General features: G+C 40.3%; 1 protein-coding gene and 1 long non-coding RNA gene across 2 annotated transcripts in view; one reads left to right on the top strand and one right to left on the bottom strand.

The window, feature by feature from the left end:
* ZFHX3 (zinc finger homeobox 3) overlaps positions 1-23672 on the top strand; it is a 1109046-nt gene that overhangs the window by 124926 nt on the left and 960448 nt on the right. The window lies entirely within an intron of this gene.
* LOC102723876 (uncharacterized) lies at positions 475-2851 on the bottom strand. Its single transcript, XR_001752375.2, has 3 exons — positions 2818-2851; positions 2297-2434; positions 475-606 (listed from the first exon to the last, which is right to left on the bottom strand). It is a non-coding gene; the product is annotated as an uncharacterized LOC102723876 (long non-coding RNA).

Raw genomic sequence — 23672 nt, 5'->3', positions numbered from 1 at the left:
GAGATCGCGCCAGTGCACTCCAGCCTGGGCAACAGAGTAAGACTCCATCTCGGAAAAAAAAAAAAAAAAAAGTAATGGCAAAACCCACAATTACCTTTGCACCAATCTAATACTTAACACCATAAATGTCCTCTGAGATAATGATTTTGAATGGCTTGGAATTAAGTCACTTTTCTCAGATCAGATCATTTTCCATGAGCTTCCTTTAGTGCCAGCTAACCTGGGCACAGTGAGTGGCGACAACTCCTGGGGACCCATGTCACTTCTGGTCTGCGGTCCTGTCCTGAGTGATAGGTGCTTTAAACAGCTGGACTGACTGTTATGTTTCCACTCACCTTCTTATGCATTTCTCGCTTAGTCCAACATCCCGCATCATTCTTTCTCCACCAAAGCTAGCTCCAGAGCTTCAGCTCTTCTTGAATTTTGTCGTTTTCTAAGTTTCTTCTTTATTCCCATTGATACTTGCTAGGATAGGATGCATTGGTGGCCCCAGATGCACAAGTGATATTGGCAAAGCAGAAATGGGCTATGGATGTCAAAGAGATGCTGCTGTCCCTTATTCTTGGATGGAGAAGTTTGATGATACCCAGAAAGATCCAGTATGTCCTAAAAGACCCAAGAGAGATGTATAGGCAGTCACCCTGGCGATATACCTGGGCCATTTATTTCGCAGAAGAAACAAGAGATTTTAAGTTAAAATATCTTAAAATTGTGATACAAGGAGTCAACAGGCCTTTGAGGACAGGTAGGGGTTACATTACCTAAGAAAAGTTGCTGCTGCATGGTTTTATTTTAGCTAATTTTATAAAACTGGATTTTATGCACGCTGTCACTATGAGGGACTAAAGTGACATTGGAACAGAATGCTTTTTCCGTAACGGATTTTACTGGGGGCAAGGGGTGGGATTGGGAGAACTCTTTTCTTCAATGCCATATGATGCATCTGTGTGAAAAAATTCTGCTCCAGGGACTAGATAGGTCAGGAGTTTTAATTTTTCTTTTCTCCCCAATTCCCAAAACCTGAAACTGTATTGAAATGAACTGAGAGTAAGCCTCAGGCTTTATTCTACTCACTATCCATAGAACTCAGTCACAGTAGCCAGTCTCACGTAAGCCTCCTGGCCAGTGGTGTGGCCAAGGGTTGAGGCAGAAACACATGAACCAGGTTTCAGAACATACATCTCCATCCGGAAAAATAGAGCACCTTTACTTGGCATTGAAACTTCTTTCACAGTTGTATCCAAACTAAGCCCATTATTTTTTGTGGAACTCAAATTAGACCTGCTATTTTCTGTTCTGTGTGGAGCAAAGAATTTGGGCAGTGTTTTCCCAAGTTAGTTTGGACTGATAACTGGCCTTGAACCAAAAATGAGCTGAATGACTCTGGTCACTACTGAAATGAATATGTAACTGACTCAAGTCCCAGGTGTCCTTTCCTGATGTTTGATTTAAAGTCTAAATGGAGGCATTGGGCCCAAGAGCCATGAACAGTTGATCCACAGCCTTAACTAGCCTCACAATTCTTTCTATTCTATCTTGTGTAAATCAAGTACATAAGCAGGATATTCTCTTCACAGGTAGTTAGATCAGTGTATAAGATCAGATTTACTGCATGCTTCACAAAGTTCATATTTCCCCCATATACACACATTTTTAAAAAGGTAAAGATATTTTAGTAACTCAAAATGTTTCCCATTCAAACAAGACAGATTAGCACTGCAAAAACAACCACCACCCATTTGCTCTAGAGAATCTGTCTTTTTTTTTCTAACCCTTAGGTAGTGACTTCGGTTGCTTGGGTAACCCATGAGACAGATCAATCAATGTGAATGAGTTTTGTTTTTTAAAGCATCATCCTGGAAGCAGGAGGGCAAGGCTAGGATTTAAGGGAAATGAAGGTGGCCTTTTAGCAACTTTGAGAAGGAAACGAAAGGCAGACATTTCGGGGAAGAGGAAAGAGGAAGAAATAAAGTTGGGGTAATACCCTAGAGAAAAATGGGGATGGGAAAAGAGTCTTCAGATCAAACTGTGTATCCTGATCCAGGCGTTGAGATAATCCTGAACTGGTGAGGCATTGACTTCTAGAGGACACAAAACAGAAGATTTAAAATCTGGCTGCCTGTCAAATCCAAGACGCATAGGTATCAGAGGGCTAAGAGCTGGAGATGGAGATGAATTTAGGGAGAAGCAGGGTGGCTTAGGCTCATAAACTTTGGGACCTCAAGTCACTGGTTTGTGTCTACGTGGCAGTATTACAAAGGCTGTCTACTGTTTTTGCTTTTAGAAAATTTCCCACCTGTTCTTTCTTTGGTTGTTCCTTTTCTATACCTTCATTTTGGCCAAGCATCCTATATGGCTGGACTACGAACATAGAGAGCTCTCCTTCCTTCTCATCTTGAGCCAGGGATCATTCCCTTTTGTATTGGCTGTTTTCCTTGGAAGCGTGAAGCATGAGCTTTAATCAGTTTACAGAGCCGCTGACCTAATTTTACATCTGCAATAAGATCACTATGAATTCTCTGCTTCCCTATGGAGGATAAAGCTCTGCCTTCCCCCTCCCCTCTGCAGTCTTTCTTTGTGATGGACGTTAGAGAGCCTGGCAGGTTCTGTTCCACACTGCATCTCTCCAAGAGCAAATTTATTTATATATTAATTTTATATAAAAAAGATTTCTCATAGGGAGCCAGAGATTGAATCACAGGCAGAAACCTGATTTGAGGTTGAAGGCAGGATGGCAGCAAGCAATGTCAAAGAGCAAAAGCGTTGGGGGCAAGAAGTGAGCAGGGATTGGAAATTTGCTTCCAAAGAGCTCTGTACCTCTCTCCCTCTGGTGTCTGACACACTGGCACAGCTTGCGTATTAGTTTTCTATGCCTGTGTAACAAATGATCACAGATGTAGTGACTTAAAACAATACCCATTTATGATCTCACAGTTTCTGTAGGTCAGGAGTCTGGGGCCCTGCTGAGCTAGGTTCTCTGCTTAGAGTCTCACAAGGTTGAGATCAAGGTGTTGGTTGGGCTGTGTTCTTATTTGGAGGATCTACTAGGGAAGGATTCACTTCCAAGTATGGTCCTCCCACCCCCTGCCCCTGGTTGTTCACAGAATTCATTTCCTTTTGGTCGCAGAATTAATGGCAGCTTGCCTCTTCGAAGCCAGCAAGGGAGAGGGAGAATCTTTGCTGCTTAGTCTCTGACCCCAGGACCCTCTTTTAAAGGACTTCCCTGATTAGGTCAGGCCCACCTATGATAATCTCTTTTGATTAAAGCCACCTGCTGAGAGATTTTAATTATATCTACAAAATCTTGTCACCATTGCTATATTCTGTTAATAAGAAGCAAGTAACAGGTTCCACACCCATTCAAAAGGAGGGAGTTATATGAGAGTGTGACTCATTGAGTGTCACCTATGGGTGTGTCCTCCATACCTCATCAATGCTCCAAGATGCCCAGGGTCCCCAAAAATGTCACCGTTAACTCCACCCTATTATTTTAAGCTATTAAATGTGGTGAAAGGAACAGGAAAAGAAGTGTCTTTCAGAATAGCTTACATTTCCTTCCTGCTTGGCAGAATCATTTGTGAGTTCACATAAATGGGTTCATGCAGATAATAACCAAGAAATGGGAAGACATTAATTAGAATTGATTTACAATTACACACCTCACTCAAGCCCATTAGTTACATTCTGTTTTTCAAAATTGCTTTCATTTTGTGAGTGTGCCAGACTTTTAAAGATTTGGTAAGACTTGATGTCAGCCTTCTCCAAGGCCTTTAATACATGATAGGTCAGTTGCCAAGAGGGATAATTTTTTTTTGTAATTAGGAAATAACATTTTAAACACTGTATCCTGTACACTGAAGACTCCTAGTTTGTTTTCGTAACATCTTAATTTTCACAGACTTAATGTATGAGAACTTGAGACAAGGTAAAGAGATTAAGCAATATTTTATTACAATACATTAGTGGGGAAATATTTAGGGGAAGGAATCCCACTTCCTTTTTAAAAAAAATTTTATTAATATTTTAAGTTCTAGGGTACATGTGCAGGATGTGCAGGTTTGTTACTTAGGTAAACATGTGCCATTATGATTTGCTGCACCTATCAACCCATCACCTAGGTATTAAGCCCAGCATGTATTAGCTATTTTTCCTGATGTTCTCCCTCTCTCTGCTCCACTCCATCAGGCCCCAATCTGTGTCATTCCCCTCCCTGTGTCTATGTGTTCACACTGTTCAGCTCCCACTTATAAGTGAGAACATGTGGTATTTGGTTTTCTGTTCCCATGTTAGTTTGCTGAGGATAATGGCTTCTTGCTCCATCCATGTCCCTGCAAAGGACATGATCTCATTCCTTTTTATGGCTGCATAGTATTCCATGGTATATATGTACTACATTTTCTTTATCCAGTCTGTCATTCATGGGTATTTGGGTTGATTCCATGTCTTTGCTATTGTGAGTAGTGCGCAATGAGCATACTTGTGCATGTATCTTTATAATAGAATAATTTATATTACTTTGGTTATATTCCCAGTAATGGGATTGCTGGGTCAAAGGGTATTTCTGGTTTTAGATCTTTAAGGAATCGCCACACTGTCTTCCACAATGGTTGAACTAATTTACATTTCCACTAACAGTGTAAAAGCATTCCTCCACAGCCTCTTCAGCATCTGTTGTTTCTTGACTTTTTAATAATCGCCATTCTGACTGGCATGAGATGGTATCTCATTGCGGTTTTGATTTGCATTTCTCTAATGATCAATGATGTTGAGCTTTCTTTCATATGTTTGTTGGCCACATAAATATCTTCTTTGGAGAAGCATCTGTTCATGTCCTTTGCCTACTTTTTAATGGTGTTGTTTTTTTTTTTCTTGTAAATTTGTTTAAGTTCTTTATAGATTCTGGATATTAGACCTTTGTCAGATGGATACATTGCAAAAATTTTCTCCCATTCTGTAGGTTGTCTGTTTGCTCTGATGATAGTTTCTTTTTCTGTCAGAAGCTCTTCAGTTTAATTAGGTCCCATTTGTCAAGTTTGGTTTTTGTTGCAATTGCTTTTGACATCTTTGTCGTGAAATTTTTACCCGTGCCTATGTCCTGAATGGTATTCCCTAGATTTTTTTCTAGCGTTTTTATGGTTTAGGGCTTTACATTTAAGTCTTTAATCCATCTTGAGTTAATTTTTGTACAAGGCATAAGGAGGGGGTCCAGTTTCAATTTTCTGCATATGGCTACCAGTTATCCCAGCACCATTTATTACATAGGGAGTCCTTTTCCCATTTCTTGTTTTTGTCAGGTTTGTTGAAGATCAGATGGTTGCAGATGTGCAGTCTTATTTCTGAGTTCTTTATTCTGTTCCATTGGTCTATGTGTCTGTTTTTGTACTGGTATTATGCTGTTTTGATTACTATAGCCTTGTAGTATAGTTTGAAGTCAGGTAGCATGACACCTCCAGCTTTGTTGTTTTTGCTTAAGATTGTCTTGGCTATATGGGCTCTTTTTGGTTCCATATGAATTTTAAAGTAGTTTTATCTAATTCTCTGAAGAATGTCAATTGGAGTTTAATGGGAATAGCATTGAATGTATAAATTACTTTGGGCAGTATGGTATGGTCATTTTCACAATATTGATTCTTCCTATCCATGAGCATGGAATGTTTTTCCATCTGTCCTCTCTTACTTCCTTGAGCAGTTGTTTGTAGTTCTCCTTGAAGAGGTCCTTCACTTCCCCTGTTAGCTGTATTCCTATGTATTTTATTTTTTTTTGTAGCAATTATGAATGGGAGTTCATTCATGATTTGACTCTCTGCTTGTCTGTTGTTGATGTATAGGAATGCTTATGATTTTTGCACATTGATTTTGTATCCTGAGGCTTTGCCGAAGTTGCTTATCAGCTTAAGAAGCTTTTGGGCTGAGATGATGAGGTTTTCTAGATAAAGAATCATGTCATCTGCAAACATGGACAATTTGACCTCCTCTCTTCCTCTTTTAATACCCTTTTTTTTTTTTTTCTTTTTCTTGCCTGATTGCCCTGGCCAGAGCTTCCAAATACTATGTTGAATAGGGGTGGTGAAAGAGGGCATCCTTGTCTTGTGGCAGTTTTCAAGGGGAATGCTTCCAGCTTTTGCCCATTTAGTATGATATTGGCTATGGATTTGTCATAAATGGCTCTTATTATTTTGAGGTACATTCCTCAAATGTACCTTTCTTTATTGAGAGTTTTAACATGAAGGGATGTTGAATTTTATGAAGGCCTTTTCTGCATCTATTGAGAAAATCATGTGTTTTTTGTCTTTAGTTCTGTTTATGTAATGAATTACATTTATTGATTTGCATATCTTGAACCAGCCTTGCATCCCGGCAATCAAGCCAACTTGATTATAGTGGATAAGCTTTTTGATGTGCTGCTAGATTTGGTCTTTCAGTATTTTGTTGAGGATTTTTACATTGATGTTCATATTGGTCTGAAGTTTTCTTTTTTTGTCAGGTTTTGGTATCAGGATGATGCTGCCAGGTTTTGGTATCAGGATGATGCTGCCAGCTTTTGGTATCAGGATGATGCTGGCCTCATAAAATGATTTAGGGAGGATTCCCTCTTTTTCTATTGTTTGGAATAGTTTCAGAAGGAATGGTACCAGCTCCTTTTTGTACCTCTGGTAAAATTCAGCTGTAAATCCGTCTGGTCCTCGGCATTTTTTGATTGGTAGGCGATTTATTACTGCCTCAATTTCAGAACTCGTTATTGATCTACTCAGGGATTCAATTTCTTTCTGGTTCAGTCTTGGGAAAGCTTATGTGTCCAGGAATTTATCCATTTCTTCTAGAATTTGTAGTTTATTTCCATAGAGGTGTTTATAGTATTCTCTGATGGTATTTCTGTGGAGTAAGTAGTGACATCCTCTTTATCATTTTTTATTGTATCTACTTGATTCTTCTTTCTTTTCTTCTTTATTCATCTAGCCAGTTGTCTGTTTTATTAATTTTTTTTTAAAAAAAAACAGCTCCTGGATTCATTGATGTTTTGAAGAGTTTTTAGTGTCTCTATCTCCTTTAGTTCCCCTCTGATCTTGGTTATTTCTTGTCTTCTGATAGCTCTGGGAATCCCACTTTCTACTTTTTTTTTTTTTCCTGTAAGACCAAGACAATCCCAAATATCAGTTAGCTCTGGTAAGCAAAATTCTGCCTTTGGAAAATGGACTCGTTCTCCCTTTGATATTCTTCCTTCATTCACAAAACTCAAAGGGCATAGCTTATAGAATTGGGCCCATAATACTGGAAACCAAAGTATCCTCCAGTTTAAGGGTTTATGAGAATCAAGGATCCCATTTCAGAAATAAAGCCTCAGGGGAAGGAATTTAGAAGACTTGAATGAGTAGGGAGTCCTTAAAGAGTTTATCTCACCTAAAATAGTTTCTATTTCTGCCTCCTCTTTTTAACTTTTCTTTCCCCATACTTCTCTGTAATTCCTAAAGCCAGGTTTCAGGGATAGCTCTCTGTCTTTCCTATTTAACAAGAATTTTTAGCAGGGTGTATGGGCTTCCCAGTGTACATTTCTCAGCTTCCCTTGCAGCTAGGTATGGTCATGTGACTAAAATCTGGCCAATAAAATGTGAATAGAAGTGATATGTGCAACTTCCAGGTCATGTCCTTAAAGGAGAGGGACAGGTCCCTCCTTTGCTTTATTCCCTTCCCACTGGCAGAATGTGATGGTGCAGGTAGAAGAGGGATCACCCACTTTGGCTCATGTGATGGGAGTCACGTGTTAAAGACGGCAAAGCATCAAGAGAGAAGGATCTTAATTGCCAATAAAAATATGCGGCCACTACACCTACCCTAGACTTTCATGTAAGAGAGAAATAGACTTCTGTCTTGTTTAAGTCAGTATTAGTTTTAGTATCTTGGTTAAATCATCCTCACCTATGTCATAACAAATATACCAGCTTAACAAGTATGAATCACCAATGGCATCAGGGGAAAGCACAGTGGTTAACAGTGAGGCTTTGGTATCAGGTAGACCTGGATTAACTTGTAATGCCCATGCACCACCCACATCTATGGCTGAGCCTCAGTTTTGTCTTTTGTAAAATGGGGATAATAGTATCTGCCTTACAGCATACTGTATAAAACCAAGAGGTGAAGATCCAATGATATACAAAATAGATATGGTCTGCATTCCTATAGAACTCAAAGTGCGAGGGGGAGATACAAAACTAAGCAAATGCATAAATAATTCCAAATTGTAGGTAGTGCTATGGACAAGCAAAGGAGAATAAGAGCAGAGGACTCCCTACAGCAGTGAAGTCCAGTGAGAAGGAAGCAACCCTGAATAATGCATCCCTGTGACCCTGTTAGATCCGCCTGTGTATTCAGACCAGGCCACTTATCCTTCCCCTAGCTCTTAGCAAAGCTGTAATTAAAATACTTGAATTTTGGGTGGGCTATCCCCAACAACCAGATGGTATGCCCCACGAAGGCCGTGTCCATGTGTGTCTTGCTTGTTGCTGTACTTATGAGCCACCCTGTTATCAGCTGAGTAAAGAATGACTAAACAATTAAAGCCTGGGTTGCACATCTCCTAACAGAGTTTAGTTGTATTATCTTCAAAGAAGACTGAATTTGAGCTAGGTTAGAAAACTGTTATCTCTGAGAACTCTGTGGTGAAGTTGCTTTATATCATTAATATTGACTACTGAATTCTTAGCACTAAGCACAATGCCTCACTTAGAGTCGGTATTTAATATCTGTTGAATGAATGAATGAATGAATGAATGAATTTCTAGTAACATTTCAGTTCCCACCATTAGAAATCTCAACACAATGAACTTTGTAACAACCAGGGCTGTGCAAAGGTGGAATGGGCCCCTTTGGGAAGAATTGAGCTCCTTATTTCAGAGGCATTTGAGAGAATTGTTCAGGATTTTGGGCAGGACATCATGTTCTGAACAACGGGTCATGTCTTGCAAATGTCTGCCAATCCTGAGAGTGTATGTGCATTGTTTGTACCTGGGGTATTTGAAACTTATGCTTAAGGAGCTTTAGGCATTTTTACTGAAATAATTTCTGTGTTTTAAAGTTGCTTACCTGAAGCTTTATGGAGTATAAAGATAAACTGAAGGCTGACTTTTGTCCCAGTGAGTCACAAAATCAGAATGGCATCAAGGTTTCCTGGGCTTCTTGGACACAGGAGAGCGGATAAAGGTTGTCACATCCACCTTGAGACCAGACACATGGTCCAGGTTTGATCACTTCACGCTGGTGAAATGCTGCTTCCTGCAGGGAACCCTCCAACTCTGTGCTCCAATAATAATACCATTTACATATTTTCATCACAAATGCCCTCACATAATAATAATATCGTTTGGGGTCTGTTTCCTCCACTAAACTCTGACTATCTTGTTGGTGTCTTACTCCCATTTTATCTCAATGCCTAACACATTGCTTAGCCTTGGTGGGTGCCCAATAAATATTTACTGAATTAAAAAAAAACATTCCCTACTGTCCTCATGGGGAGAGAGAAGGGGAAATACTTTTCTGATTTTCATAGACGAAAAAACTGAATTGTAGAAAAAGAGTAAGTTGCTGCAGTACTGACATCCACAGCTGATGTTCTGAGAATCTGACTTCTGGCTTGGCCTTCTTATGGAGGCCGAAGGGATCCTTATTCCTAATGGGTAGTGGTATTGCAGAGTTAGGGTTGCTATCCAGTCTGCAGTGGAAGCACACTCACAGACACGAGGGACCCCACGGAATTCCTGATGAGAGTGTGAAATAGACAGACTTCTGCTCTTTGTTTCTCTGTCCTCTGCATGTTACAGGCAACCCTTCCCTCCCTTTCCACCCCAGCCATACCCATCTTTTCCCATTACTGGCTTTCAGAAGCCCCCTGCCCCTCACCGTTTCAGATTCCCACAGCTGTTCTTCAGAAGAGACACTGAAGCATCTGTAAGCCCACGTTTGTTCCTGCATTTCCTTATGGTGACTAATGGGTAACACCTGTCCCATGCATTCCCTCTTGCACTCTTACGATTGGATTTATCACTGCAGTAGTTTAACCATAACTAGAAAAATGTAGCTCTCTAAAGTCCCCATAATGTTGAGGTTCCTAATGTGGTTTAAGTTATTCCTTGCGTCATAAATAACATACACGGCACTATTATGGACCAATACCCTGAAAAGAAAAGGCACCAAGATCATAAATAATACACACAATAGGGGCTTGAGGAGACTCAGCAAAATGCCCTGGGGGGAGAAGGAGTGGGTTCCTGATGTTAGGAGCGGGGGTGGGGCAGGGGTGGTGGGGGTGGGTGGTTTCTAGGAAAGCCTGGGCTTTCCGGACCCAAGCTTAGAAATGTCATCCTATTCTTGCAACTCTTTCTGATTCAGCTAACCTAATTGTGCAGCCGAGGGGTTGCACCTGGTCAGAGGCCAAGGTCAGCTTGGTCTCCCTCCCCAGTGAAGGGCGGGAGGAGGATCAATCTGCCTGTGCATTTGTCTTGTCTTGTACACACCCTATTATTGCCAGGAAGGGGAAGAAGACAGACGCAAGCTCATGTCGTGTGAATGATCTCAGGCCCGGCACGGACCAAAAGCCACCTTTCACGATCACATTATTTTTCTCATCCATTCTAGCCCGTGTCAGTCATTCCATTGAGAGTAGCTGCAATTTTTACCGGATTAGGCCTATCAGATTATACTCTAAAGATGAAGAAAATGCTACCCCTCCAACAAAAACGGTTTCCACTTTACACTCAAAAGCTTCTTATTCTTTTTGCTTTGAGGGAAAGAGAAAGAGAGAGTGAGACCATGTGCAGTGCCCTTTATTTGGACTTTTATCTTAACCTGGGAATACCTGGTCTTCTGTTTTCTTCCTTCTCATGTAACTCTTCATTGATTTTCTTTAAATCAAACAAGCTGCCATCACAGACTCTTACAAAAGAAAGTCAGCCATGGAGGAACCCTGGGCTTGGAATAGAAGCCAATCTAATTTTAGTTGCCGGTGAGCCTCTCTAAGCGGTGGAGAGTGGTCAGAAGTTCATCTTGGCATGTGCTATCAGGACCCAACAGGAGCCAGCCACTGTCACCCGGCCGTGGGAGAGGGGCGAGTGCCTCGCTGATGACAAGTTCCACCATCATTTTATGATGAGGAAGCTTGTCTGCTCCAAGTAGGTCTTTCATCCTCTACTTTTTAAAAATTAAAATTGCTTCTGATTTATGGATTAATCTCTTGCCGACATCATGGGTGGGGGGTGCAGTGCTTCATTTTGATAAGCAGCTGAGCCCCAAGCTCTTGCTTTTCTTCACGGGAGGTTCGATTCCTTGCCTTTGGCTGAAGTCAGAGGCTTGGGCCGACTGTGAGCTGTCAGGACAATTCCCAGTTGATGCCTGCAGGATTCCTAAACTTCACAGACCATCCTACTGAATCTTGTTATAAGGATACTGCATTTTAAAAAAAATTGAATTGTTTGGTTTGTTCATACTAATAAGTTCTTGTAGGATTCTTTTAAAAAGGAAGATGTAGCATGGAGAATGACTCACACACTATGCACTGTCTTGAAAAACAGTCCAGGCCCCATCTACTTATTGATATAATTAAAACTGGATTAAGAGGATAGATTATAGAGTTTCTAAGGCCGTTAGGGAGTTTAAACTCCAGGATTTTCCCATCTTTTTTTTCTTCTTTCTACTCCTCTTTCTCTTATTCAGGTTTATATATGTCGTTATATCCAACGTAAACAGGTGAGAGTCTTAGAAACGGAAACTGGGTTGGCAAAAGGGGAAAATCTCAGGAGATAACAAAGGATCTTTGAGTAAAAGGAGATGTTAGAGATTAATCAGGGAGTACGGATGAGTGGTTAAGCAAGCGGGATCTAAAGTCAAGTTTCCTGGATTCAAACCATCGAATGATGAATGAATTTATCATTCATCCACACTGGAACTCCCTGAACTTCAATTATGTTGTATGTAAAGTAGAAATGACACAAGCATCTCCTTTGTAAGGAGGGTGCTTTGAAGATTAAACAAAATTGTATGTTTAAAGTGTCCATATAGTAAACTTTCAATAAGTTATTGTTACTATCATCTAGTTTAAACTCTTGGGTTTGGGGGGAAAAGGAAACTGGGGTTCTGAGAAATCGGTGAAATTTGCCCAGAAATGCAGAGCTATAGGCAGAAAGACCCTGAGTGAACCTTCTTTTATATATATTGTGTCATTTTAAAAAACCCTCTGTCATTAATCTCTCCTTTTTTTTTCTTCATGTAAAGTTCGTGTCTTCCCTCAACTGAAACAAATAATGTGTAGAAAAGCCTGTCTCAATTCAGATTCATAAATCCAAGGCTAGTCGGAAGTAAAGGTCTGAAAAACAAAGTAGCCTCTTGTGAGCACCCAGAGTGGGATGTAGGAAACATTTGTTTGTTTACTAGGATACCTCTGTCTTACTACAAACAATATTCTGGTGCAGAGGAGAGCATGTGGCAGCTGGGGCTGCAAGGTCGGCCCAAGGACGGTGGAAAACCAAAGATGCTGGTGTATGCCATGATTCTCGGGGGTACCAGAGAGGTACCTGCTCAGCACTAGTGGTCTGTGGCCACTGAGATGTAAAACGTACAAACCTCTCTCTTCCCGGAGTCAAGAACTGGGTTTCAGTACAGAATTCTCTAGCCTGTGTCACCCTCCTTTGCCTTTAAAATGAAAAATAGTTTTGAATTGAGACCATATTTGGATAGGTCTACAACACACCCAGAGGGGAAAGACTAAAAGCAGTAAGATAGTAGATCAGGCTGCGGACGTTTTTTGAGTAGAAATACTTGTAGCTCGGTTGATGTGAGTTCTGTAACTGACCAATATATTCATGAGTCAGTAAGTTTGGGAGAACCTACTGTGTTCCTAGCTGTCTGCCAACATGGTATGAATTCCAGAGGAGTTTGCAGTGTGGATGGAAAGACAAAATACACAAGACATTTGGGAGGCAGTCCAAGAAAGTATAAAATTGAATCAGATTTTACACACACACACACACACACATTGATTCTTACTATTTTTCTCATTACTATTTGCAGCAGTTATAGTCTATAAAGACACAACAAACACTGAATTAGTAGATACTGCATTATTTCTTCTAGGGGAATTACAGGGTTAGAGATTCCTGTCCATCTCTGGTCATAATATTTTGTCAGCCTATCAATATGTAACCTTGTTTTGTGAGTTTTTCTCTTAAAAAAAAAACACCTTATTGAAAGTATATTGTTGATTAATTAGCATTGAACTTGATGCAGGACAGGCGATCCCTAAAATTGGGGCTTAGCCCAGTGGCAGTGGGGGTTTGTCTTTGCCCAGCAAAGCATTTGAGGGTGAGCTGGTGGTGTCAGACAGCAATCTTTCATTGAATGGTACTGCTACCTTGCTGAGCAGGGCTAATACACAGGCAGTGTTCCCAGAGCCAGCACCTTATGGGCTGTTGGCAACTGTATTTATACCCACTTAAACCCACTTTTAATTACATGAAAATTAAGGAGTGGGTTAAAGTAAATTGAGGGAAGGGTTATTTAGGACCTTCTAGGAAAGGAGAAGTAAATTCTGGGTAATCGCCGTGGCAAAGGGGTGGTCACTTCTGGATTGCTGCCACAGTATATGTGGACTGTCACTGCACTAGTGGGAGTGTCTCATGCAAGTGAGCAATGAGGGCAGCTAGGGATTGCTTTGGTCACCCTTTGCTGGTTTCCTCTGGTTTCTTCACTTTATCCTGTCTGGGCCAGATCCTGTTTTGGTCAGCAGAGTTACGACCGGAACACAAGTCTTGCCAGCCTTCTACCTCAAACTCACAGCCAATAGCACTGTAACTCATGCCTGAATGTAGCTTATGGAACACATGTCTTAAGGCACATCACAGCCTTCTTGTGCTTAGGAACGCTAACCCACACTTCAGCACTGCACTTAGGGGTCATTTTAAGCAGCAAGATCACCAACAATACACACAAAAATGCACAGGTCCACAAATGACCCATGAAAGTGCCTTAAGTATTGAGTATGGAGTTACAAATATATTGTAGCAAGTATGCAAATTCTCAGATAATGAGGATCCGCTGTACCTGCAAATGGTACCTGGTTTTATTGGAGGTACCTGCAAATGTTATCTGGCACTGCAGGAGGATGTGAGGAGACATACCTTCTGAAAGAGTGTCCATACTAGGGAGTACTGGGAGATGATGTCGGATATTGGTTACTTTTGCCCTCCTGGTATTCATTTCCCCTTGTCCTGGTATCCCTTGGATCTTTGTGCAGGAAACACACTCACTAGTCGACATGGTTTTGTTAGGGCTGATTCTTCCCCCAGCTTCATGGATAGACTGACCCAAGTGTGGCCAGCCAGGCGGTTTTGTTCAGGAGTTGGCCAAGGAGACTCAGCTCTGGGAGTGTTTTCCTGCTGGGATTGATAGCTGCCAAAAGATGAAACATGGAGCTGTTGGGGACCAGGAAGAGAGAGGCCATCTGAGAAGAAAACCAACACAGGGAGAAAGAGAGGAAAAGAGAGTAAACAGAGACAGAGTATGGGTGCCATTTTTAAAACATGCCTCAGTGCAGCCATGTCTGAAGGAAACTCTGGAATTTGTGATTGTGTGAGCCAGTGCGTTTTCATGCATTTTTATTTCCTCAGATAATCCTAGTTGGGTTTCAGCCAAAAGACTGGGACAGTAAATAGATCTCCCAGTCAAAGGATTTTGAGTGAGGAGCTGACACCCTCTCAAACTAGCTGAAATCAAAAGGAGGTCGTTATAGACCACAGAGACGCACATGGAATCCAAGCTCAAGACATTTACCTGGGCCTTGGGAAAACTGGAATTGGAAGCTGAAAGCTGGGAGTTACTCTCCTACGTATAAATGGCACCATGGATCAGCTCATCTTTGTTTCTCTCTGGACCACAGCTCCATCCTCCTTTCTCTCTTTCTCTGCTTATAGATCTTATGGCCAGGCCTGTGCCCTGGAGTTTTAACATTGTTCCCCTTGTCTTAGCCACCCTAGTTTCTCAGAATCCCTGTTCCAAATCCCCGAGAGAATAACCCGATTGACCTGGCTTCTTTTCTCATAAGACCAGGCTGTAGATTCTTTCCCCAGATAAGTTCCTGCCTCAGATCCAATTGCTGTAAATTATCAGGTAGTGACTATAGGAATGCAGTCAACAGGCATCTCTGATACAAGGGAGGCTGGATCTGAGGAAGTGTCCAAAGCTAGATGGGTGCATTTGGAGTTGAGGTTGTGGAAGCAGGAAGATAGAGCTCTCAGAAAATAGCTCCTACTTTATGATTCTCTCAGGACCCCTAACTTCTAATTTCTGAACAATGAGAAGATAGGCCTATAAAACTATGCATTTGTATTAATAAAATCATTTTATTTTTATTTAAAAAATGTTACTTAAAAATATATACATGCAGAAACATGCATTTAAACATATGTATGTACATAAACATATATACACACACACACATAAACACATATACACATATAACCATGTACATGATTAGACATTCGTTTGTGATCTTTCCAGGTACAATGTTGTCCAATGATCGAGAATATACATGCATATTTTTAAAAACTAGAATGGATGATGACACGGTTTCTTAAAACCCTGTAATACTTTTCTGGTATACTGTGTTTTTTCTACTCATGGCTCCCTAATTTAGTTTATGACTATATGTTTCTATATTATCTATTCAAAACATTGTACTCAGTGCCAAATAGAGTATGGGCACTGAGTACTTGTTGAATAAACATTTGTCAAATGCACAAGTGAGTGACTTTGTGCCCATGGATTCAAGGACTTCTTGCAGTAGGTCCTGGGTTCTTCCCAGAGGTCCTCAGTCCGTATCTTTTGAAAAATAGTTTTGAGACATACATAGTTTCTGGGAAACCAGGTCTGTTTATTCCCCACAACAGAGTCACCACACTTCAATTAAATGGATGCAAAATACTGCCTTTCTATTGAGTTTTCTAATGGATACAACTCTAGATATTTCTCAGAAAAATGCCCAGGCCAGTAGACCTCTAGGCCCCATTTTGGATTTTTATGCTCAGTAGATGGTTATCATAGTCCCTTAGGTTGTTATTTAGTCAAATTATGTTCATTTTATCGCCTGTGCTTTTCCTCATATTTCACTCCCTTTGATTTGTTTTTCTTTTCTTTTCTAAATTCCCATCAAGGCATCATATTACCCCTAATTGCCTGCAATGTTCCGAGTCTGGTCTCATTGCTGACACAGAGACAGACTCTCTTAGCCATGGTTTGGGATGCCCCTGTGTGTGTGGCTGAAAATTTTACTAGCTCAGAGAATTGCTGAGCTGCAGTGCTCGCCTTACCTCCTCATGGCTTTTTTCCACTAGCTCACTATTTTGTTGTTTTCTTGATTACTCCCATCCAGGAATCCCCTTCAAGTTAAATTCCCTCTTAAAGTTTATTCATCCCCAGATAGATCATCTGCATTTTTTCAACCAGTGCCTCATTGTGTTATTTTTGACATCTGTTACTAAGATCCACACATAGCGTGGTATTGTGTGCCAGTCTTCCACTGCTGTTAGGAACACCTCCCAATTTAGTGTCATCTGCAAATGCGATTATCATGATAATAGTAATAAGATCTTCCCCTCTCTTTCTTGATTCTTAATAAAGTTGGTAGAGTAAAGCAGTGTCTTTGCAGATCGTACACTCCAGACCCGCTTCTCACAACTCTGTCAATTTCCACTCATTGCTGAGCTTGGTTTAGGATCTGTTTTTTTCTTCCTGGGACGATACAAAAAGATCCATCCAGCCTTCCCTTTATGGAAGGACTCTGCAAATGCAACTTACCAAACCTAGGGGAAGCTGTCAGCCTTGGTTTCTTTCTCCCTATTGAGTTCCTTTCTCTCCAGTTCCATCTCAGAGGTAAGGTGCATCCCTTGACTCTCCACAGGAGAGTATAGATTGTTAGCCATTGGATGGATGGGTGAATGGATGGGTAGTTGGGTGGCCAGGTGAGTAGATACATAGGACACTCAGGCACTAGCCTGTTTACTGCTCTGAGGCTAGTAAGTATGGTTTGGGAGGCCAAGGAGACAGTTACTTACCACTGGTTTTATGTACATCATAATGTTCTTTGAGTAATCCAGTCTTCTTTCACGTAGGGTACAGTTCAGGGCCATCCAAGGCTGCCCTTCAAGTAGGGAGCTTTGACATCTTCTAAATCAAACCTTGTATTCATGCTTTCAGCTCCTCACATTTTGCATTTATCCACTGCATGAAAAGTCAAACATTGCAGTTTGTGATGCATTCCAGTGCACGTGGCATTGGTGTCCTGCCTTTTCTCTTCCCTGGGACACTCCAACACAGTTATACGTAGTATAGTGTTAGGAAGGGTTACCTGGTGCTTTATTTTCTCACTGGTTGGTCTTTGTTGTGTTATTCTGTATCTCTTTTGGGGTTTTTTAAATACTTCATAATAACAAAAAAATAGAGATGAAGATATGGACTCTGCCTTCAAAAGGCTTCCTGTTTATCAGGGAAGACTTGCATAGTAAATAGCTGTAATAAATTATGAGAAAGCACTACAGATGAGATGGGTCTATAATAGTTCCAGAGATGAGGGAACCCTGCCTGGAAGGTAGGGTTCCTACCTGGAAGTGGTGGTGGTGGTGGTGGTGCTGTTGCTGGTGGTTGCGATATTATCGGGGTAGTGGGAAGGGAGTGATATAAACAGGATAAGCACAGGAATTATCCTCGGTCTGACCCTTGAAGGACAAGGAAAGTTCACCAGGCAGACAAAACAATAAGGGTATTTTAGGGAAAGGGCATGGCCAGGTAAAAATACAAAGTGCATGTGGGAAGTGGTCCAATATGGCGGGATCTAGTGTATTTGGAAGGCTGAAAGATTGGTAGTTTAGAAAGGTGAGTTTGGGGCCGGGCATGGTGGCTCACACCTGTAATCCAAGCACTTTGGGAGGTTGAGGTGGGCGGATCTCCTGAGGTCAGGAGTTCAAGACCAGCCTGGCCAACATGGTGAAACCCTGTCTCTACTAAATGTACAAAAATTAGTCAGGTGTGGTGGCAGGTGCCTGTCATCCCAGCTACTCAGGAGGCTGAGGCAGGAGAATCACTTGAACCCAGGAGGCGGAGGTTGCAGTGAGCGAAGACTGCGCCATTGCACTCCAGCCTGGGCGACAAGAGCAAAACTCTGTCTCAAAAATAAATAAATAAATAAAAGAAAGGTGAGTTTGGAAGATTATGCATGCCATTTATACTAGGCAAAGACACTTCCATTTTTTCTATAAGACCAAGGGCTCTTCAATGAGACAGTGATATAATCTGATTTTAGAAAAGCTAGCTAGGCAGCAAAATGAATGTAGATAAGCCTGGAGGTAGGAGTGATTGGTTTTGAAAGAGGTATAGGTAGAGACGTTGGGAAGAATATACTGAACAGAGGGTATAGCATGAGCAACAGCATAAGGGAGGAAGATAAGGTGCATTTATATCAAAGAAATAGAGTGTAAGTCTTAAAAACATTTGGAGAATGTCAATGAATGAATGAAGCTGGAGATCTTGAATGCCAGCTCAGGAAATCTGAAATTTATTTACATGATATTGTGGACTAACATTAGGTTTTTTAAAAGGGATGACTTGAAGTGTAATTTTAGAAAGATTTAATAGAAGTTTATGGTAGATGGAGGCAATCAGAACAGAAGCAGAGACCTGTTTTTCTTTTGTATGACATGTAGTTAGTTTTTGGGTTTTTTAGTTTGGACTTTTGACTTAATAATTGTCAGTATCTCTACCTTATAAATATTATTATTTTTGCATATTCTGATGTTTTCATCTTTTTCCATTTCATTGATGAAAAATCCCCGTGAAATTTCAAAATGTTAGATTCTACATTTTCTCAGGAAAATTCTGAAACATTTGGAGTGGTTCCTACAACCCACTGGATAGACTATTATCCCCAACATCTTTTGCTTTTATTGAAAGTATTTGTAAACAAAGGGCAGAAATCTCCCTAAGAGGTATTTGACAGGTTCCATTTAGCTTTATGATAACAAAATTGACAGTTTATGTGCGAGGGTATAGATCTTTGATTCCAGATTATTCTCTGAGAAATAAAGGGTGACTACCAGTTTTGGAGGCTATGCAACTGGTCGTGGTATTGACATCATTTAATAACACTTGAAAAATACTATGGGACATGTGTGTGTGCGTGTTTGGTTGAAGAAATTCTCTTTTGGCAATATTAAATTTGAGATGGCTGTTGGCCATCTAAATGGAGAAATCAAGTTGTATATATACAATAAGTATATATCTACACATACATACATTACCTATACCTATACTTATATCTATCTGAGGGAGATGTCTCTCAGGAAATGTTTTTGGGACTAATCAACATAGAGATTTTCTGTTGTTGTTGTTGTTAAATCCATAGGACTGGTTAGATCACCTAGTATATTAGTCAGGGTATGCTAGGTTCTGCTGCAGAAACAAACAAATCTTGGAAATTGTAGTGACTTAACCAAGTAAGATTTATTTCTTGCTCACTCAGAGACAGATGCAAATGTTTCTGGGTAGGCAGTTCTTTAAGCAAAGATCTAAAGAATTTTTTCTTTTCTTTTTTGGAGATAGAGTCTTACTCTGTCACCTAGGCTTAAGTGCAGTGGTACAATCATGGTCACTACAGCTTCAACCTCCCAGGCTCAAGCAATCCTCCCAACTTAGCCTTCTAAGTGGTTGGGACTACAGGCATGAGCCATCATGTCTGGCTAATTTTTATTATATTTTTAATAGAGACCCTGTGTTGTCCAGGCTGGTCTTGAACTCCTGGCCTCAAGTGATTCTCTTACTTAAACCTCCCAAAGTGTTGGGATTACAAGTGTGAGCCCTTGCACTCACCCCTGTAAGATATATGAGCTGCTTCTACTGTGGGACACTACCAGTAGCAGAGCAGATCTACTTGGACAAACTCATTTGTGAAACAAAGGTGCTCCATTTGTTTTCTATTAGTTCTACTATTTTTGTTATTTTTAAAAAAGATTGATAAAAAATTTAAATTCAACTTTAGAATGCATGGAATGTTGATAATCTAAAACACAGTCCTTATTAGGAAAAGTGTGTACTTTGGCAATAAGGAAAAAAGAAGGCTAGTCTCTTAATAGTAGGAAAGTTTAGACTCTGGGTAATTAAATATATGGGAGATTTTGGTCTGTTTTGTTTTCATATAAATGATAATTTCAGGGCATTTGTTATCTTACTTAAGGAATGATTCAGACTGCTGGATAATTTGGTTAATTTAATCTTGATGTTGGGGAAGCCCAAACAGAATCATGCCATTATCTAAATGGCTGTCAGCTCCATTGTTTTGATATTTTAAGAAAATTGGTCCTCCATACAGGAAATCGTCTCATCTCTGAACTCCCACTCGTCACAGGACAGAAGTCCCAAGGGGGCTGAAAATAAGCCCCTGGACTCCCCAGAGGGACTTTTCTAATTGTTGGCCCTGGAAGATGACTCTGTATTAAGTATTCTGTCAAGAGACTATGAAGGTGCTGTATTTCTATTTCATACCTGGGAGTGGTTTAAAACTAAGTGCTATCAAGCCTTCTTTTGTTCCGTATATAAGAAAGAGATTTATAATAAAAATCGTAAATAAGAGACAAAGGAACCCTGAAGTTTCTTTTTCCTTCTCCTCGCTTTTCCCTGTTCAGTGATAGAACAATTTATGAATCTGACAAATCCTCCCCTAGATAATGGTAAGAGTAACATAGTGCTCAGCTGAGTGACTCCAGGCCACTGAAGTTTATTAGACTGTGGAGCAACAGCGGCAGGATTGATGCAATAATCAAATGATATGCTTGATTTGGGCTCTCCCTGTCTCTCTTCCCACCCATTCCCCTCCCATTTCCTTCCCTCCCTTTCTTTCTCCCACCTGTACTTAAAAAAATAAAAAAATAAAAAAATAAATAGAGGGAATTTGAAATCGAATAGGTTGGCAGGGGTGGACTCCTGATTTCCACAAGTAACATTCATTCAGAAAGTATGAGAGTCCTGTGCCAAAAGGGTAAATGAAAATAAGGAACATGGCCATAAACACATTTCAACTAAATTTTTGGTTTGGATCTGGGTAACCTAAGAGGAAGAGAAGACTAATCCAACTGCCACACTCTTAGGCCAAGCCTGAATTGTCAGGACACCAGAGACATAATCAGAGGGTATCGATAACTTGAGTTACACCAACACCAATGGGTCAGAGTTGGCAGGAAGACAATAATTTAGACAGGAAAGTAGATCATGCTTTGAAAACTATGGGATCCATAGGGCATGTTCATGGTAAAAAGAAAGGTTTTCAAAAGTCACTTAATCCATTGTCTCAAAATGACAGGTGGAAGGCTAAATCTGGCTATACACGCATTTGGTTTGAACAGCACTATTTTGTAAAGTTGAATTTTAATGCCTTCAAGGGAGATTTTCATAGTCTACTGCACTGGACTTCACCTCTCCCTATTATCTTCTGTTATTTCTGTGCATATATACTTTAGTTCCTGACCCATGAGGGCCTTTGTGTCTGACCCAGGAGTCTATGCCCTGCTCCTTGTAGGACCATGAGTGACTCTTGATTGAAAAGAAAAGGTAATCTTAAACTAGCCTCCTTGTCCTCTGCTCTTAAGGAGATGGAATTCAGTGGAAATTGCTAAATGTCACCATTGTTCAGGAGACACTGAAGAAGTCAACATATTATGAAACAACTACTAGGCTGACACCCAGCACAAGAGACCTTCAGCTTTTTCAAGACAGTGAAGGAAAAAGGTCTCTCAAATATCAAGAAACATATTTTATAACCAGAAAAGTCTGTGATGAATGGGGTAATAATATTCCACCCTTCCTATAAAGAAAAGTGGTATGGACATTATTGCTTTTTTGGACACTGCAGCAACTGTATCACTCATTTCTGAGAGGTTGTCAAAAAAAATTGAAGGGTTTAAATATATGACCTTTTACAGGAATTACTTCCACAATAGCTTATTCTACCAAGTCCACTGAAGTTGTGGTTGCAACAATGAATTTCCTGTTGTGAGATGCAAATTGTGGGCTAATTGCAAGATTTAATCCAATCTCGTTTGGGGCAGTTCTTGAAAAATTGGGTTCCTGCTGCACTATTTCATGGGTCAGTATCAAATATTCTGTCACGAAGATGAAATAACACGAGGAAATTTTTAAAGAGGGAGAAATAGTAATATTCAGAATGCAAAAGCTGTCAGAAATATCGACTGGTCTTGAATCAAATGGGTTTTGCTTTGTGAATAAAGGTGGTAATGAGACACGGAAGTCATCCAGACTATGCAGAGCTCCAGCAGAGGCTCCAAAAAGAGGGGCAGCAAAGATGCCAACCAGATATGCATAATAAAGTAGAATGAGGAAAATAAATCTGTGCCTGTTCCCTGGTTAGTAGTCACTCTTATGCAAGACATCACACTGTTATACCTGTCTAGACCTTGCATGTGATCTGGCCTGAAGGAGAGAATTTCAGAAATACCAGGGTGAGGCAGGAGAAAATGTTTACTGAAATAGATAATTGAAAGCTCCACTTCTAGCCTGTCAGTTTGGCCAGCTGAATAATTGCATCTGAAGCCCCGAGTAAACTCCATCTCTAGATGAGTTGTTCCGATTAAATGGTGTCACCTGTAGTCATTGACAAGTCCCTGGATTGTCTCTGTCAAGCACCATCTGTGCACACCAGAGACATATCCAAAGGCTACTGGCAAACATCTTTAGATAATGAGCGTAAATTAATAACTACTTTTGTACGTCACGAGAGATCATGCCATTTTAATGTTATGCCCTTTGGGTGAACAAATGGGACAAAGATCTTTTAGATACTAATGAATAGTGTCTTACAAGGATTAATTTGCCCAACTTTTTGCTGAGTTGGCATCACATGCAATGTGGTCTGATTTGTTGGATCTGTGGCGGGGGTCGGTTTGCGGAATTAAAAGAGGGAGAGTTTTAATTTTGAGCATGAAGACTGTTATGTAGAGAGGATGTCATTCTGGATCCTTAATGACTCAGCTTTTCATGGGGTCACCCAGTAGAGTTGTCCAGGCTGTATTCACATTCACATAGATTTTGGTCTAGATGCATGGCGCCCCCTAGAGTTGTGTCTGCAGCTGTTTGCAGTGCTTCCATAAGCTTCTGAGGGCTCTGTCCATCATTTCTTTCCAGGTGACAGCGTGGAATACCAATGGTAAGTGTAATATTCCACTGGATTAACAAGAATTTGGTTCACAGCAAGGATTTATAGTCATTCTGATAACAAATACGGTACCTCTTTTTCTTGTATATATATATGTAGGAGTTACCTGTGTATGTATGCATTTTCTAATAAGAACTTAGATATAAATTTTTAGCTGTCATACTTCCATATATTTAAAGTATAGGTAATTGTCAGCATTGTCTAGAGGACAGAGAAATAGGCATTCTCTTAAATTCTTATCTGGTAGCATATATTGTTAGAGCCTTTTGACTTTTAGGAAAATTTGGAAATAGCTATTACATGAAAATGCTCATATCCTTTGACCAAACAGAAATGCTTCCATAAGCGTTCAAATATATGTATAAGTATTGTGTATTGTAATTTGCGATGACAAAGACAGTCAGATATTTACACACATCCC

The sequence above is a fragment of the Homo sapiens genome, chromosome 16 (genome assembly GCF_000001405.40).
Source record: "Homo sapiens chromosome 16, GRCh38.p14 Primary Assembly".
Taxonomy (NCBI): Eukaryota; Metazoa; Chordata; class Mammalia; order Primates; family Hominidae; genus Homo; species Homo sapiens.
This window is presented reverse-complemented; position numbering and strand designations above follow the sequence as displayed.